Here is a 19,789-nt window from a genome sequence, read left to right on the forward strand (position 1 = left end):
CCATTGTTTCCTGAAGTTTTGATTGTTTTTCAATTATGCTATCTATTTTCTTGAATATTTCTCCCTTCACTTCTTGTATCATTTTTTGGATTTTCTTACACTGGGCTTCACCTTTCTCTGGTGCCTCCCTGATTAGCTTAATAACTAACCTCCTGAATTCTATTTCAGGTAAATCAGGGATTTCTTCTTGGTTTGGGTCCGTTGCTGGTGAACTAGTGTGATTTTTTGGAGGTATTAGAAACCTTGTTTTTTCATATTACCAGAGTTAGTTTCTGGTTCCTTCTCATTTGAGTAGGCTCTATCAGAGGGAAGGTCTAGGGCTGAAGGCTGTTTGTCAGATTCTTTTGTTCCACAGCGTGGCCAGAGCTGTAGTGATTGTTGCCTCTTTTCTGGATCTGGCCACTCTGTATAGACAACCCCCAGTACCAGCCCGGAGCCTGGTAGACTTGGTGCTTCTCATGTACTACTGCTACCACCATGATGCTGTCCACTAAAGAACACTTTTTGGTACTGGGGGTTGTCTGTACAGAGTCCTGTGTTGTGAACCATCTGTCAGTCTCTCAGCCATGGATACAAGCACACTATTTGGGTTGTCTCCTGGGTCCTACAGGAGCAATCCGCTTCCTTCAGGGAATCTGTGGGTCCTCTCAGGTTTCCCGATTTATGCCTGCAGTCATTCTGGAGTAAAAATTCATGATAGGCGCCTCCACATGCTACTCTGTTCATCTAAGTCAGAGCCACAATGTATTCCTGCCTCCCATCTGCCATGATCACCTCCCTCACTTTTGATTCTTCATCTCTTGATTCCTCTCCAGATGCTTTTATGATTCTACAAATCAGGGTTGCCCAGGACAAGGATAACAGCAAGAAATATCTCAAATTCCCTCTGAAAGCTCTAGGATCTAATTAGCACTTATATGGAAAAGTCACATTCCTAATAAAAATAAGATGCAGAAACCTCCAAGTTGGCACTGTAAGAAGAATTTCTTAAAAAGGAAAGAAAAATGAATTAAGAAATCCCAGCCTTTCTTTCCAAGCTTCACCCTCCTCCTGGCGCTTCTCACATACTACTGCTGCAACCATGATGCACGAAAGAACACTTTCTGCCTTTAACATTTGTGGTAAGTATCTAGGTAAAAGACTCATCCACTTGTCCAGCTGCATTGTACAACACCAGTTGCATGGAGACAGAAAGGGGAAAATAAAGAGAGGATTTGTGAATTTAGATCTTCATTTAAGCTACACATTTCTAGCTTAAAGTACCCATAGGAGTTTCTGCCTTCCTTTCTTTCTCTCTCCCTTTGCAGACAGGACACCCTTTTATCATCCACCTTTCAGGAGAGCAGCTGCAGACATCTCTACCTCTTAACATTAGATCCAGAGAGAGAAGTGAAACTCTGTCTCCTGCCTACCTAGAACCCACCGTCATAGTTCTCATTTCTTTCCTGAGGAACAACTTTCTTCTACAGGTGGCTTCATCTTTGGGGATATCCCTATACTTAGCCATGAATGAGCAGCCTTCTTTATAGGTCTCAATCAGATAATGGTAACAACCTACAGCACAGTGACTCCAATGGTCAAAGAACAAGATTCACACACGAAGAACTTTTGTCTTTATAACAAGCATGATAGAGATATAGTAGCAGAAACAGCAACAAAATTATTTTTAGTTACATTTCTTAGACAACTATTATGTGTTCTATGATTTATAAATGTTATCTTCAATCCTTATATAAACTTGTTGGGAAGAATATTATCTCATTTTAAGGATGTAAAAATGAAGTTCTGAGAGATAAAGTCTAGGTCACAGAGCAAGTAAGATGTGTCTGTTCCCTGCATTGCCAGCCAGCCCTGTATCACCCTTGATTCTAGATTGCATGCTCAAGTTAATCAGAATCCAGCCATACTGCCATTTACTCACTATGAGACCTTGGGCATAGGTTGCTTCCATGCCTTCTACCTCAGCTTCCTCATCTGTACAATAGGGTACTAAAAGTACCTATATCATAGGACTAGAGTGAGAGTTAAATAGAAAACGTTCCATATAAGTTTGCTATTATTATCATTATTAGAGCAAGCTAATTTGTTTCCATCTTGCTTTCCTGTCTGGATTTTAAAATCACCTTGTTCCCATTGTAAGAAACATGCAGAAAATACCTCTAATTTAGTTTTAGATGGAGCATTTTGGTCTAGAGACATATTTTAATCAGGGAGGCAAGGGTCATCTCTTTAACTTTCATTTTGCCCTTTTACAGAGCTTGAGCATGCTCAGAGGGTAAATAGAAACCTCTTCGGCTAATTTTTGGAAGGAAATGCCACAGCCAAATGATGAGGATGATGTGGGGACTGATCCTCCCTTTCAGCCAGGATAGTTGGTTCTGATAAAAAAAAACACTTAGAGCTCTATCATTTATCTAGTATTTTAAAAAATCTATATGTTATTAAATGCTCACAGATTTTTAGTTATTATTCTAATTTTAAGGGTATGAAAACTGAGACTTATTCCATATCTACAAATAGCCAAGACTTGATCAAGGTCCCCTGATTCCACATCCTGTACTCTTTGTACTCTCACTTACTGGGTAGAAATTAAATGGGAAAGCTAATTTTCCCTTGAGGTCATGGAGACACAATCTGGCTACTCAGTGGTTTCCTTGTTCAAGGGTTAAGAGAAATGCTGGCCAGTGTGAAGCTCCTTCCTATATATTTTCCCAAACCTTCACTGGGGACGATGGGTGAAACACAGCCTGCTTGATTGTTTAGAAACCCACAAGTTTCTAGTAAATACCATACATTTTCTTGAATTTTCCAAATGTGTGGACTCTTGATGGGTTGGAAAAAGTAGCCTTGGGGTTAAAAAAAACTCCTATCCTTCTACCCCTTATTACTCCCTTTGAGTTTTACAGAAGTATCATTTTCAGTTTTAAACTTCCTGATTTTGTAGCATTAATAATTTGTTTTGAGTCTATTTATATCTAGTAATTTAGAGTACTTTAGATAAACTTCTAGGATGTTGACTAAAGAAAGAGGGAAATGTGGTTGGAGAAATGAGTCTGTGGTAAGGGAAGTTTGTAAACCAACACGGGGAAGCTTAAAAATTCTGCAGCCAGGCCGGGCGCGGTGGCTCACGCCTGTAATCCCAGCACTTTGGGAGGCCGAGGCGGGCAGATCACGAGGTCAGGAGATCGAGACCATCCCGGCTAAAACAGTGAAACCCCGTCTCTACTAAAAATACAAAAAATTAGCCGGGCGTAGTGGCGGGCGCCTGTAGTCCCAGCTACTTGGGAGGCTGAGACAGGAGAATGGCGTGAACCCGGGAGGCGGAGCTTGCAGTGAGCCGAGATCCCGTCACTGCACTCCAGCCTGGGTGACAGAGCGAGACTCTGTCTCAAAAAAAAAAAAAAAAAAAAAAAAATTCTGCAGCCATTCGAACTTACTTCCCATCCAGAAAAATAGTTGGAAAGAAGCAGCTGCAACGTTCTGCTAAGCTGATTGTTCCAGGACAAGCATCATCATCTCTTTAATGTCATACTTTCCACCCATCTCCTCTCTCCCTCCTTTGTAGCACTCTTTCCTTTCCTTCCCTTCTTTTACCTCCTTTCTTTGCTCCAACACCTTGGATATTGAGTTTCTTTTCGATGAGTGTTCTCTTCAATAAAATAAGCCAATACCTAACAAACAGCATGAAGGAAAGAAAATTGCTTAAGGAGAAAAATACAGTCTTTGTTTAGGAGAAATAGTGATTTGTTTCCTGGGAGGATTACCAAAAAAGAGGCTCACAACCACTTCTTTGCAGATCAAGGTTGTGTTTCTGCTTACAGATAATTGGAAGCAACGTGTAGGTTTGAAAAATGACCCATTCCTTCACAGGTGAAACTTAGACTATCCCCCTTCTATCATAATTATCGACAGATTTAGATTGAAGTGATTGTGGAATGCATTGTCCTTACAGATATTCAGGGACATGATGACGAGTGACTCTGATGAGAATGACTGAAAATGGTACAGTTCACCATCACAGCCCCTGAAAAGGCTGAGATATGCAAAAGTGCTGGTTTGATCCAAAAGGTATAAATAGCACTCGAAGGGGAAGGCTGAGCAGGGCTTGCAGGCTGCTGTGTTGGAGGAACAATTTGACAGAGACAGAGCAAGAGGATGATAACTTGCAAAAAGGATAATTTGTCATGATTACCTCTTCCCCCCTCCTCCCTAGAGAGAGTAGCTTTCACCCATTGGAATTCACGTGTGGGGGAAAAAAGCATTGTAACCAAAAAAAAAAAAATCATTTTATATTTTCCTTTTCTGGGTCTACACTTTGGGTGCATGGAGGCATCACATTGTGAAAGCTCTGCTAAAAAGATGTGCCATGTTGCAGGATTTCTCTAAGGTTTGAGACATTTTAGTTCCAGTAGCTTCTTCGTTAGGAGGTGCTGCTCCTAGATGCAAATACTTTGGATTTATTATTGCTTATGCAGTCATCAGACAACCTAGCCACCTCCACCAATTTTGCTACAAATGCATTTGCCCCATAAACTCAAATGGTGCCAACTGCTATCATGGGTTTGAAGACAAATCCTAAAATTTTTGTAGCAAAAACTTTGAATAGCCTGCCTGCTTTTCCTTTTTAAAATAACATTTACTATTTTTAAAAATAAAAGTAGCACATATTCAGTGTAGCACTTTTTGAAATATAAAAAAGTGTGAAGATGAAGGAATAGAATATTATTGATAATTCCATCACCCATGTGTGAGTATGTTAAGACTCCCTGCGGACCTTGGAGTCTTCTGCCTGATTCACGTTAGATGTGGTTTTCTTTGTTCCACCACTCCTCTTCTCTTCTCTGCTCATAGTTGCCCTTTCTCTCATGTCTCCTGTCTCCTTTTGTGTCTGTGATTTTGGCTCATTGACTCTGCCTTTGGGGTACTCACTTGCTTCCTTTGGAAACTTCACTGGGGGAGCATGGTGATACTTTCTTTACACCAAAACCTGATGGGCCACGGGAATGTTTTACAGAAAATCAGCTCCATCAATTTCCGTATGTAAAGTTGCTCTAGAGCAGCGTTTGGAGATTTCTACCCTGTGGTAAGAAAATGCCTCCCCAAATCCATCACTCTGGGAGATGAGGGTGGGTTACGATGGCAAGCCCTGGTGGAAGGAATAGGGCTGAAACCAGGGTTGCCAGATTTAGCAAATAAAAATATAGGATGCCCAAATGTTTTCTGAGGCATACTTATATTAAAGAAAATTTTGTTGATCTGAAATTCAAATGAACTGGGCACCCAGTCTTTTGTCTATCAAACTCTAGCTGAAATAGTAGTTAAAATTCCAGAAAGGCAAGGGATTATGGAACAGAAAAAGGTGACTAGGGAAGGTGGCCTCATCTCACTTCAGTGCATTCATGGGAGCCTTGTTCCTTTCTAGACATGGATGGCCCCACCCACCAGGCCTAAGTCTGACCTGTACTCTCCTTTCTCTACTCTCAAATGGTCAGCTTCTGATGGGGATTCTGATGCCTTAAAACTCTTTATCCACCATTGCCTCCATCCCTGTCCAGTTCAGGCCTTTGCCGGTGGTCACCGGGACCACTGTGATGCCTTCCTAGACCAGCCTCTAATATGAACAAAATGAAAGCTCCTCCAACGCAGCTTTTACAATGCTGCTGAGAGCTCTTTCTAAATGTAAATCTAGGGAAGTCCACTCCCTCTGCTTAAAACCTTTCAAAACGTTCCCAATGCTCTTAAAGTCTCCACTCTAGAAAGCCTGACCAGGCTTTCCTGATATGGCCTCTGTCCTCCTCTTCACCCTCATGCTAGGTTTCCCCTTATTCCTTTACATTCATCCTAATTTTCCCTCCAGTTCTCTGAATAAAATGTGTTCTTCTTGGATTGTAGACATTGTACATTAAAAAAAAAATTCACTCAAAAAGCATTCATTTCTTCTCTACCAAGTGCCATTTGTAGAGGCGAACAAGATGTGGTTCCTATCCTCATGTAGGTCTAGGCCAGGACTCAGCACTCAGGTATATAGGGGCTGGGACGGCCATACTGTGAGGGAAAAGAGTGGGTGAAACATGGTTTTCTTGCTCTATCCTACCTTTTTCCACTTTTGGTAGAAACATGAACGTAAGAAACATTTTGTTTTTCCTTGAGCTGTACTATTAGAAAGACAATAGCACAAGCTTAATGATAAGTGGAGCTGACCAAGGCCTCACTGCTAGGGGCATGTCTTAGTCCATTCTGGACTCTGTAACAAAGTACCTTAGACTGGGTAATTTATAAATAATAGGAGTTTATTGCTCATAGTTCTGGAGGCTGGGAAGTTCAAGATCGAGGGGCCGGCTGCTTTCATGTCTGCTCCTCATAGATGGAAACTTTTTGCTGTGTACTCATGTGACAGGAGAGATGAACAGTGTCCTCACATGGTAGAAGGAGAAACGGGGCTCCCTAAGGCTCCTTGTATAAGGGCACTAATCCCATTCATGAGGGCTCTGCCCTCATAACTTGGTGGCCCCAAAGGCCCTCACCTCTTACCATTCTCATATTAATAATAATTAATTGCCATTAAGTTTTGACATATGAACTTGGGGGGATATATTCAGACCATAGGAAGGCACAAGAAAAAGTGATAGCAACTGGAGTAAATCAGACCCCATTTAAAGGGGTAGTCATTACTCAGTTCTAGTCAGTTGTTACCATGAGGGTATTTCAAGAGAAATCAGAAATCAGAATTTTAATGTGAAAACCTTCATTGATGACAGTAATTAAAAACAACAACATCCACAAACCTACAAAGCTCTGAGAGCCAGATTAACTAGATCTGTGGCTTTGCTTTTTCTCTTGAATATCTAGTATGAGAACTCTGCCAACTGCTTGGTTCACTCATCACATCCTATTGACCTAGAAAACTCTTACTCATTCTTAAATGTATCAAAACACCCCATTGCACCCCATAAATATATAGAATTATTATTTCTCAATTAAAAAAATGTTACTTCTGACAATAACCTTTCTTAGCTCCTGCCCTTAACCCTTGGCTATGTCAAGTTCCCCTCCAGGGTGTTTCTGTAATAGGAGGCACTACAGGAAGCCTTTCTTTCCCTATCCCAGCACTTATCCCACTGTGTTATAGCTGCCTAGGCAGTTATTTCTCTTCCTTCATCATCTGTAGTAACCTCCACATGGGCAGTAGCTCTGTGTATCCTGCTGGCTTCTGTTCTCACGTGCAGTATACCTGTCTCCAACCTGCGCGGCCACGAACCTGCCGTAACTTCTCTACTACTCCCTTAGGAATTGGGCTATTTGTTTATTTGCAGGATTCTGCCCACCCCCTCTGCCTTTTCCTCATCTTCATGCTCCAGGCTTGGGTCAGCCACTGTGCTCTAGGAGATGTGGGGGGTGGGGGGGTGGGGGCGGACTGAATCCTGCTTGCTTATTGCCACAAAGATCAGAGTATGAATTATAAGCAGATCTCTTGTTGGACAGAAGCATGAATGCTCTGGCGCTTCCTGTGTAACACATCCAAGGTGACCCTTCTTTCTCCCACCAACTTCATGAGTGCTAATGTTTAGCCATTCTGTGCGTAAGATCATCTGGCTTCATAAATGCTCCTCAGTATTCAGCAAAATGTACCAAACACTTTTGATACATAAGGGCAATGCACTCAGGAAGAAGTTTTATGACAAAAGCTACTTCAGGTAAGACCTTGATGTTATTCTAAGTCAATTCTTCATAGTAAATATTCTACTGTATTTGTTTAGAAGCCAAGCTTTTTTATCCCCTTAAAAATGTATCCTTGATTTATCAGTTCAATTTCTGATGTTCTGTATGAAGACTGAGAGGCACTTTACAATATGTAAGGGAAGGAGATAGGGTTGTGTGTGTGTGTGTGTCCCAGTGTTATCTTGGTGGGAGATCTTCTGCTGGTTGCATCTAGTCTCGCTTCCACAAACATGAGGATAACCACTCCTGTGTCTTCTGGGCCCTATTTTCTACTCAGTGCATGGGTGCATGTGTGTGTGTGTGCAGGTATGTGTATGTGAGTGTGTGTGTGTGTGTGTGTGTGTGTGTATCCCTACCAGTGACCTGGGCCATTGAATGAAGCATTTTTGACATGGGGTGGATTGTATAAGAGGTTAGGAAATCTCTAAAGGCGGAAAGGAGGTGAACATCTCATGGGTGATGCACTGGTTTCTATTGATTGGTAGTTGTTAGTAGATAACAATGGGGAGGCCAGGTTTTCTTTCTGCTCCCAGGCTGATGATGATGATGAATGGCTCCTGCTGGGGCACATGCCTGTGGTCTCTCCATCTCACTCATTTTGTCTATGTGATTCTTCCTCTTCCTTTCTCTTGGCCGGTGGAGACTTTTATCTAGTCTAGTGGCAGAAACAATCTCCTCTCAATATCTGCTCTCAATCTTTCTGTTTTACACCTAGCCCAGTGGCTTTTGAACTCAATATTTAAGAATAGTCCCTTGTGGTTTTCTGGTTCTTCAGTGTGTCGTTTACCTCCAAGCAGTAGGTGTCTTACATCTAGGTGTCTAGGCAAAGAGGGGATGTCCTTGGAGTAACAGTGAGGAAATTCCATGACAGCAGACATGAAGGAAAACACACTAATTACTACTTCAAATTATTGTTATATATTATGTCCTACTTGCTTGTAAATATATATGCAAGATTTTAATAGGAGAGCATCTGTAGAGGGTAGACTTTAAAAAAATTCAGGCATATTTGGTAAGCTGACCTTAAATCAAATAAGGATGATAATTAGCCTCACCCTTGGTTTGCAAAGTGCTTTTACATGTGATGTTAATCTCATATCCAGCTTGTGAAACAGGCAGGATCTGCAGTGTTTTTCTGTTTCATGAAAGAGGATCAGAGAGGTTATATAACTTCCACAGAGTTGCAAAGTGAGTACATGTCAGTGGACCCAGGACTTTGGACTCTAGTCCAAGTCTCATTCTGCTACCCAAAAGCTGCTTCTCTATGATTTGGAAGGGTTAGCCCTGTCACTGAGTAAGCTATGCCTTGTAAGTGCACATGTACGCACAGGATGTTTCTTTATCTGTGGCATCGTACATACCATCCTTTGTCCCACATACAGTCAGTTCTAGATGGATAAGCTGCCCTAAGCGATCTTTCACAAACAGGCCCTCTTGGTCTTTTTTTTCTACCACAGCTTACGGGACTGCTGAAAACTTTGACCTATTTCATAGATAAGTATTTAATTAATTAGTTAATCCACCTGTCAATTATTTAGTGATGCCTAGTCCTGGGTTAGGCTGTGGGGAGAGAAATGTATAATTTGTTCTTTGGCCAGAATGCACAGGAATGAGGAACAACAAATGAGGCTTAGTAAGTGGCTGACTGCCGTTTGCAGTGATAGAGGTGTTTTTACAGTTGTGAGAGAACAGGGGCAGGACCATTAAGCAAAATCAGGGCAGGGAAAATTTTCATGGAGTGAACTGAAAAGTTGATCAGGCCGGAATAGGGAAAGGACATCCTAGCAAAGGGTTAGCCTTGAAGAAAATCATGGAAGGCTGGGAGTGCAAAGGCCAGTGTGACTGGTGTTGGGGTGAGGGGTGAGTGATGGGACAAAAGCCATGGAAATTGACAGAGGTTGGATTGTGAGGGGCCCTAGAACCTAGACTATATCTGGACTTTATGCCGAGGAAGGTGGGAATTGCTTGGAGATGGTAATAAAGGGGGTGATAACAGTAATTTAAAAAAATCTTTCTTGCAGCAGAGGATGATTTAGAGAGAAATGGAACTTTTAGGCTGTAACATCAGTTAGGAGAGGAAGAGGGCCTTGACCTGGGCACCATCAAGGCTGTGGGAGAGGACAGGGATACATTTGTGAGGTGTTTAGGAGAGGTAATTGACGTTGGTAGAGATGGATGGGTTGTGGTGATGCTTAAGAGAGGAAAATCCTTAGACACCATCTAATTTCTGGACAGGTGGAGGATACTGTCTCTCATGAGAAAGGGAACCCTTGGGGAAGAGGAGGTGATGAGCATGAGGGTGATAGTTTGCATCACCCTTGGTTTGCAAAGTGCTTTTACATGTGATGTTCATTTTATACCCAGCTTGTAAAATAGGCAAGATGGGTAGGGTTTGGTCAGATACATCAGAAGGTCCCATGGCAGTATTTAAAAGGCAGGGGGGAATGGTGATCCAGTGTGAGCAGAGGTACACACTTCCAGCCCTAAATTAACTCACAGGGAAGCTCTTGTTGCCTCTTGGGCCATCCAGTGATATCAACCTGAGATCTGAGGGGGGATCTGGACTAGTAGGAAAGAGGTGTTCTCAGCTGCACTCTAAAGGTTTGTCTTTATGCTACAGGATCTTCATCTCATGAGCTTAACACCTGGAGAGAGGAAAGGTGAGAAATTTGTGAAGCAGCTCCAATTAAAATCAAGAATTAAAGAATAATGTTCTTTCCTGATCTGCTAGGGAACAAGAGAAATAACTTCAAATCAAACCTTAGTTGATCCAGATCTAAAATAGATTTAAATCAGCTCTCCAAAGCCTGGGCAGGTTTTTAAATAAAAACCTGTGTTTCAGGTTCCTTTTGTTAAAGAAATGCCCTTACTTGATGGAACATCAAAACCTCATTATATTGCAAACATTGGACTATAAAAGATGGAGAATGAGCAATTCTACTTAGCCGCTGCAGCCCTCCACACGGTGCCCCAGAAGGACAATGAGTTCCAAAGGTCAGGGTTACACATGGCGTGGTAAGTGTTTTTCTCCTTCTAACACTCAACAGGCTTGGAAAATGGCCAATGTTAGAGACAGAGAGAGAGAGAGAGGGAGAGGGAAAGAGGGAGGGAGAGAGAGAGAGAGAGGGAGAGAGGGGGTTGGGGAAGGGGAGAGAGAGAGAGAGTCAGTCTGTAGTCAGGCTTCTTCAAGAATGAAAAATAAACTTTCTTCCCCCCCTGCAGAAAAAAAAAAATTGAAAAAAGACAAACCCTGAAGAAAAGCAGACAGCTGCTAACTAGTTGTCTAGCTGTCTATTTGTGGACACTTCCTTTCATCTTGTCATATCTTTTGTGGTGTTTGAAATGTTTGGAGCTTAAGAGTGGAAGAACACTCAGTGGAATCCAAACTTTTATTAAAAGAAAGGGAAAGAGAGACAGCACAGTTCTGACAACAAGTGAGTATTTCAATGTTGGGGCCATATTCTGCCCAAATATCAAGCAGAGGAGCCCTCTATTTCTAGCTAAATGAAGCAGAAAACATATTTCGATTAAAAATACGCAAGAAGATAACGTGTAGGAAACCAACTTATTTTGTGGGAAGGCTGCAGAGGGATACAAATGGACCTTAAGAAGGGGCCAGGAGGAGAGGGGCCTCCTTCCCAGGCTTGGCCAGGGTCCCTTTGTGCTGGTTCATTGGAATGCTAATTTCTGCTCCATTGTCCCTGAGAAGCCACTCTGCTTTCTCGCACTGGAAGCCCTTTCTCATTCTCTTGTCTTTGGTGGTCTTCACCAGCTGCTTCTATTAGCTTAGAGCCTCAGGAGATTTTATTTCCATGAATGTTGTTTTGTGCAGACCTCTGTTTCTATTTGATCGATTCATCCATTTGATTCTCATTCCTTCTTGCATTCATCCTCAGGGGTTAAACCACCAGATTATGGTTTCCTTGTCAAAATTAGAAACCCAAAGTGGACTGTCACAAGGATCCTGGGGATTTTGTCTTTGACATCCATTTCGGAGGAAATGGAGATTGAAATCTTAGCAGGAGAATCTCTTCAGGGACTCTGATTTTTCTTTAAAAGGAACCAAGTCCTGAATTAAAATAAATACCTAGACTTCAGATGAGGCATCAGAGAATCAACAGAAGGCCTAAGTCTTTGTTTCACTGGCTGTCTGTGTGCACCATAATTAAGGGGAAAGAGCTTAGGGAATTATCCACAGCTCAGCTTTCATAGCCAGTTTTCTTTTCAAATTGGATACTTAACATATCGCTCAGAGAATGTATTTCAAAGACTTCGCTAGGTGCCTATGGTATGCTGTGGCATTGACAGATGGGCAGAAGCTGGAAAGATGGGTGGGTTCTGTTCCTTCATGTCCTAAAATACCAACAGCTGTTAGGCTGCACATTTCTGTGCTACTTGGGGCTTTTTACCTAGCATTGGAGTATGTTGTGCTCTTCTCTCCTTTCCTCTACTGCATGAGGAGGCAACTGGTGTAGAGTGACAAGGTGGGAAGAACAAAAGCAGAGTCTTTCAGATCTGGTTTCTGCCACCCCTCCTCTCTGGGCCTCATCTGTAAAATGGGGTAAATCTGCTCTGTGGCTGTGAGGATTATATGAGATCACATATGTAAAGTTCCAGGGATCTGGAAGGCATTCGAGAAAAATTAATCACATACTCTTCTATCCTTCACCCCTACCCTCATGGAAGATTGAGGAATGACTCTAAACCTAATAAGCAGTTTATTGCTGTCCCTCAAATGTGTCATGCTTCTTCCTGTCTCCATGATTTATTTGGCACTGCTGCCCTTCTGATTGGAATGGTCGTTCCCTAGATTCCCCCCATGGCTGGCTCCTAGGCATCATTCAAGTCTGAGTTCAAAGGTTGCTTTTTCCAAAGGCTCTTCTTGCCCTGGTTAAAAATAACCCTTGGCTACTATTCACAATAGTAAAGACATGGAACCAACCTGAATGCCCATCAATGATAGACTGGATAAAGAAAATGTGGTACATATACACCATGAAATACTATGCAGGCATAAAAGGGAATGAGATCATGTCCTTTGCAGGAATATGGATGAAGTTGGAAGCCATCATCCTCAGCAAACTAATACAGGAACAGAAAAACCAAACACTGCATGTTCTCACTCATATGTAGGAGCTGAACAATGAGAACACATGGACACAGGGAGGGAAACAACACACACCAGGGCCTGTTGGGGAAGGGGATGAGGGGAGGGAGAGCATCAGGACAAATGACTGACGCATATGGGGTTTAATACCTAGGTGACGGGTTGATAGGTGCAGCAAACCACCACGGCACACACTTACCTGCACATTCTGCTCGTGTATCCTGGAACTTTAATGTAAAAGAAAAGGAAAAAAAAAAAAAAAAAAACAAACAAACCCTAGGCTAGTCCCTTAAGTCATCTAGTTTTTTTTTTCCTAGTACAGCAATCTCAAGTGTTCTTTTTTCTTACCTTGATGCATATTATCTGCTTCTCTCTGCTAGAACGTAAGAACCAAGAGTATATAAACTTTGTCTCATTCACTAGAATACTGTGTGGCACAGATGTTTATGTACTTTGTCCTGGTGCTGCCTGGGGATATGGGCATGAATAGGACCCAGACCCTACTCTCCAGGAACTTTCAGTCATGTAAAGAAATAGTTTATAATGCACACAAGATTCTTGTGACTACTTTTGGTTTTCACAGAGTAGGGAGACATAGACACATACAATTTTATATAGTAATCTGAGGCCAGTGCATCAATAGAAGTGTGTTCTAGGTGATACAAGAAAGATTTGATGATTCTGCCTGGGTGTGCTAAGTAAGGTTTCCAGGAGGAGAGGTAATTCAGCTAGGATTTGCAGGATTAACTGCAGGTCCTGGTTAGGTAGACTGTGGTGGAAAGGCATTCTCAGCAGGAAACCTGGAGCTACAACACAGCACACAGCACACAGCATATAGTGGCAAATAGCTTGTTCAGGTTTTTATATTAAGCCTGTAGGATTTCAGCATACTGGCTTCTGCTCTGCATTCCAACCTTGTAGGATTATTTTCAATTCTTCATCCTGACATGTGCGATATTAAAAATCTCTCCTGACTTGGAGTCATCTGAAATATGTCCATAAAGCCCTATAAAACTGGCCAGTGGCTGGAATTGAAGGGGTAAGAATGGAAATGGGCATAGAAGGGAGATATTTACCTGAGAAAGGTTTAAAATAGAACCAATCATGGGGCAGGAGTGTGGGGTGGAAAGAGCTCTGGGCCAGAAGTTAGAAGATCTGGTCCCTCACTCTTTCTGTCACTTGTGCAGTCTTAGATTATTTCATGTATCTAAGCCTCAGTTTCTTCATAAAGCAACAACAGCAACAACAAAATAAAATAACGAAGTGTGGCTAGTAATACCTGGTAAGATTGGGAATCACAGAAAATGAGTTTGAGCTTCCAAGGAATCTTCACTGCAATTTAAGTGATGCTAAGGGCTATGAGAATACCTGGAGGTGCTAGGATTCTATGGACTCTAAATGCTTATTGTTATTTGACTTTTTTCCTAACCATTTTCAGGTTTAGATTTGCAAAATATTTTCAATTCCTTGTTTTTCCCAATCTCCCCTACATTCATTTGTAATCAATAATGTCGGTTTTTCCATATTGTCAGCCAACAGCTTAGCATGGGATATTTCTATCCCAGATATTCCTCCAAAAAGCTAATCAAATAATACCAGTTTTTTGCTCAGACAGATGTTAGTGAAGATTAGAGAGAGTCACTGAGAATCATGCCCTATGTCAGTACGTTGAATCCATTTTTCAAAGTTTTCAGGGTGTAGGTCTCTCTGTTGCCACGAGATGAGCTGGGGTTGAGCCCTCAACTGGCTGGACTGTTGGCATGTGTCCTGTGAAAGCTTTAAGGAACCCTGGGCATGATCTGATCCACCTACCTCATTTTACAGAAGAATAAGTTGAGGCCCTAAGAGGAAGGAATTCGTTCAAGCTTTGACAGTCAGTAAATGAGCTAAAACAAAGTGAAACAGACAACAAAGCAGGAGAAATCACCTGTGGCATAGCCTTCCCTATTCTATTTTATATTTAAAATCTATTTTAAAATTATCAATATATGAATTTGTCTCAGAAAGGATCAGACTGACTTTTAAAAATATACACTACAAAAAGTTTTCTAAAAAGTAATTGAGAATGACAGGGCACTCGCCCACAGACGGAGAGAAAATATTTGCAAGAGATGTGTCTGATAAAGGACTGTTATTCAAAATATACAAAGTACTGTTAAAATTCAACAATAAGAAAATAAACAACCCAGTTACAAAAATGGGCAAAAGATCTGAACAGACATCACACCAAAGAAGATACACAAATGTTGAATAAGCATATAAGCACATGAAAAGATGCTCACATTATGTGTCATTAGGGAACTGAAAATTAAAACAATGAGATACACACTTTTTAGGGTGACTAAAATCCAAACCACTAACACCACCAAATGCTGGGAAGTGGTGGAGCAAGAGGAACTCTCATTAGTTGCTGGTGCGAGTGCAAAATGATACATCCACTGTATTAGTGGGCTGTCATGTTGCTAATAAAGACATACTCGAGACTAGGTAATTTATAAAGAAAAGAGGATTTTTTTTTCTTTTTTGAGACAGAGTCTTGCTCTGTTGCCCAGGCTGGAGTGCAGTGGCGCCCTCTCAGCTCACTTCAACCCCTGCCTCCTGGGTTCAAGCAATTCTCTTGCCTCAGCCTCCCAAGTAGCTGGGATTACAGATGCGCCACCACCACGCCCGGCTAATTTTTTTGTATTTTTAGTAGAGATGGGGTTTCACCATGTTGGTCAGGCTGGTCTAGAACTCCTGACCTCAAATGATCTACCTGCCTCAGCCTCCCAAAGTGCTGGGATTACAGGCGTGAGCCACTGCGCCTGGCCAAGAAAAGAGGTTTGACTCACTGTTCCGCATAGCTGAGGAGCCCTCAGGAAACTTACAATCATGGCAGAAGGCACCTTTTCATAGTGTGGCAGGAGACAGAATGAGAGAATAATAGCCAAGTGAAGGGGGAAGCCCCTTATAAAACTACCAGATCTTATGAGAACTCACTCACTATCACAAGAACAGTATGGGGAAAACCACCATACTGTTGTAATAATCCCCTTGACACTTGGGGATTATTACAATTCAAGATGAGATTTTGAGTAGGGACACAGCCAAACCATATCAGCCACTTTGGGAGACATTTTTGCAGTTTTTTTTACAAATTAAACATATATTTACCCTACAATCTAGCAGTTGTGCTTCTTGGTATTTACCAAAAGGAATTAAAAACTTACCTGTGTAACAAACCTGCACATCCTGCGCATGTACCCCAGAACTAAAAATAAAAATTAAATTTTTAAAAAACTGAAAAAAAAACTTATGTTCACATAATAACCTGTACACAGATATTTAACACAGTTTTATTCATAATTGTCAAAACTTGAAAGCAACCAAGCAGTTAGTGAATGTATAAATAAACTGGTGTATCCAGACAGTGGAATATTATTCAGTGTTAAAAAGAAATAAACTATCAAACCATAGAAGAACCTTAAATGCATATTACTAAGTGTAAGATCAATCTGAAAATGCTACATACTGTGTGACTACAACTGTATGACATTCTGGAACAGACAAAACTCCGGAGACAGTAAAAAGATCAGTGGCTGCCAGAGATTTGGGAGATGGGAGGAATGAATGGGCAGAGCACAGATGATTTTTTGGTCAGTGAGCTACTCTGTATGATACTATAATGGTAGATACAAGTGATTATACACATATCAAAACCCATAGAGCATATAACACCAAGAGTCAACCCTAATGTAAATGATGGATTTGGGATGAAAAGGATGTATCAATGTAGGTTCATGGAATGTGACAAATGTATAATATCATTCTGGTGTGTGATATTAATAGCGGGAGAGACAGTGTGGCTGGGGGCAGGGAAGAGGAGAATATGGGAACTGTACTTTCTGCTCAAATTTGCTGTGAACCTAAAAGTACTCTAAAAAAATAAAATCTGTATTTAAAAAAGCAATTGAGGAAATGAGGACAAAAAGAAAATAATAACAGAGAAATAAGTTCAAAACTTGGATAAGGTTAATGAATAAAATGTGTGCACATTTCCTAGAGATGGGGTACACATTTAATTTCTGAGCAGTTAAGGCAAAAACAATAATAGTATCCATAAGTGAAAAACAGTTTAGCATACTTAATCCTGGGACTAAGACCAGAGAAGAATTTCTCTTACGTTTCTTTTTACCAGAGACAGGATAAAGTAGTGAACTATGTCCTCAACAACATTTGCTAAGTAACAACAACAACAAAATAATAATGAGTTTCATAGGGTAGAAGTCTTGGCTTTATAATAAATACACATTCCCCAAAGAGGTCCTACTTTGAATGACCACCAGGGATGCACTAGTCTGGCAGCGTGGGTCTGCACGAGTAAGTGCCTGTCAGGCCTTCTGAAAGAAGTGGTAGACGTGCTGGGGCTGGCTGCTCCTTGTCAGGGGAGAACATGATGTCCTCAATTCTCAGGCAGTGGACTGGATGCCAGGAAGGGCTGACATTCACCAGACATTAATTAAATACCAGGATAGTGAGGTGATTTGGGGTACAGCACTGTCATGGTGTTGACCTCCTTCCTTCTAAGAAACTTGTCTCAGCTTCTGAAAGAATATTGGACAAAATTGCAAGAATGAGGAGATTTTAAAACCAGTTTTATTGAGGTATGATTTGCATACATCAACATTTATGCATGCTAATGTACAGGTTGTGAACCCATGTAACTCTCACTCCAATAGAGTTATAGAAGATTCCCATTTCCTTAGAACATTCTCTCAATGTGTCTTTCTTTTCATTCTCTTCCCCCTGCCTCTGGTACCTACTCCCCCATTCCGGACCAATGCTGATTTACTATCTCTACAGATTAGTTTTGTCTTGCTAGCATTTCATATAAATGGAATCATATGATATGTGTCTTTTCATGTCTGGGTCTTTCACTTTGCACATCTGTGAGATTCACCAATACCATCGAGAGTATTAGTAATGCATTCCTGCTTATTGCTGATGACTATTCCATTTCACAAATATACCATAATTATTCATTCACCTGTTGAACATTTTGGTTTTTCCCATTTTGGGATATTATGAATAAACTTGCTATGAACTTCCATGTACAAGTCATTGTGTGGACATAAGTTGTCATTTCTACTGCTACTGCCACTAATGGGTTGTGTCCTGTGTTAAAGGTAACTACTGCTCATATGCAGTGCCCCTTTCTGCCTGCTTTCCTCTTCCTTTTTCCTTTCTGGAGCTCAACATAAGACAGCTCCTCTTGTATTTCTTATTCTGCTATGGTAACACATACTCAGATAGTGCCTCCTCTTTATTGAGGCACATCATTCTTTCTGTCCCACCTTTTTACTGAAGGACTGAAGGGCTCACTGGAGGTGTGCCTCAGCCTCTAAGTTCTCAATTTTGGTTTTAGTGGAAACTTTGCTCTAAAACAGCTTTTCTGGCCAGGTGCGGTGGCTCACGCCTGTAATCCCAGCACTTTGGGAGGCCGAGGCAGGCGGATCACCAGAGGTCAGGAGTTCGAGACCAGCCTGGCCAACATGGCAAAACCCTGTCTCTACTGAAAATAATAATAAAAAAAAAATTAGCCATGCATGGTGGCGCACACCTGTATTCCCAGCTACTTGGGAGGCTGAGGCAGGAAAATTACTTGAACCCAGGCAGTGGAGTTTATAGTGAGCCGAGATTGACCCACTGCACTCCAGCCTGGGAGATGGAGCAAGACTTCATCTCAATAAAAAAACAAAACAAAACAAAACAAAACAAAAAACAGCTTTTCCCAGAGAGAAGAACACTGTGGGTTATGTACTGCTTGCATTGTTTACTAAACCCCACCTGCCTGTTATTTTCTCTTATAAAATCTAGTTATTTGCCTTCATTATATTTATCACAGGTTGTAATTACATACAACTTATTTGTGGTTTATTGATCAATGCATGCCTCCTTCACTAGAATGTCATTTTATTAACCACTATGCACCCAGTACATGGCATGCGGCTTTGGCTTGAGCAGATACTCAAATGTATTTGTTGAATGAATGTAGGGGTTCCAGCCATTGTCCTGATGGGACTTTGATAAATGTGACTCTGATCCAACATCCATTATTACACAGTTCAGACTAGGATGGCTAAAGGTACTGTTTCAACATATAGTTGTCAGCACCCTGATCCTGTGAGAAAGTTTGGGGTCAATTTTCTAAGGACACTCAGGTTTTCTTTCCTTCACTAAATGTACATACAATGCAGAGATCTTCAAAACACCACTGGTGCTTCGAAGTTATGTAACTTTGCCCTTGTGCAGATGGAGACTTGAGACCCAGACAGGTTTTTCTAAGACATCAAGATCTTTCCAGTTCAAGCATAATAATTTTATACTTAATTTGGGTTTTAGAATTAGACCTGAGTTTGACTCCCAGGTATATATCACCAAGTCATGGTGTGATTTTGATCAAGTAACTTAACTTCCTTGAGCCTCAGTTTCTAGTCTAATAGGCCTTTTGCTATTGACTATAGCTCTTATGCCTCTGCAGACCATCTCCAGGCCAAACAGCTTTTTTGTTTGTTTTGTTTTATTTTGTTTTGTTTTTGACAGGTCTAATTTTGTTATAGGTTTGAGTTTGCTTACCTTACCGGTATGCTCAACTGAATATGTCTGTTTTTTTTCATTCTCAGAGTGTGGAATCTCGAGCTGAGGGCAGGTAGCCCTCAGGATGTGGCCTGGCTAGTGCACAGATGAGCAGGGCTGTTTCCCCATTGTTCTGGGTGCTAGTCTAACATTGAAACTGAGGGCTGCATCATTTTCTGTGGCGATCACGTGGCTCTGCTGATTCAGGTTCAGTACCTCATCGACTAATAACCCTACATTCACCCTTCATGTCAGCCATTATTATTATTGTTGTTATTATTTTTAATGTTTAAATTCAGTTTTAAGTTCCCTTGCCATCCTTGTCAATCTAGAGATACAGAGTCAAAC

At 41.3% G+C, this 19,789-nt stretch overlaps 2 long non-coding RNA genes across 3 annotated transcripts in view; both read left to right on the plus strand.

Annotated features, from left to right (window-relative positions):
• Positions 1-19,789, plus strand: part of LOC107987108 (uncharacterized) — a 675,821-nt gene that overhangs the window by 79,486 nt on the left and 576,546 nt on the right. The window lies entirely within an intron of this gene.
• Positions 282-18,257, plus strand: LOC107987109 (uncharacterized). Its single transcript, XR_001746872.2, has 3 exons — positions 282-1,121; positions 10,340-10,379; positions 10,562-18,257. It is a non-coding gene; the product is annotated as an uncharacterized LOC107987109 (long non-coding RNA).

Source organism: Homo sapiens, chromosome 9 (genome assembly GCF_000001405.40).
Source record: "Homo sapiens chromosome 9, GRCh38.p14 Primary Assembly".
Taxonomy (NCBI): domain Eukaryota; kingdom Metazoa; phylum Chordata; class Mammalia; order Primates; family Hominidae; genus Homo; species Homo sapiens.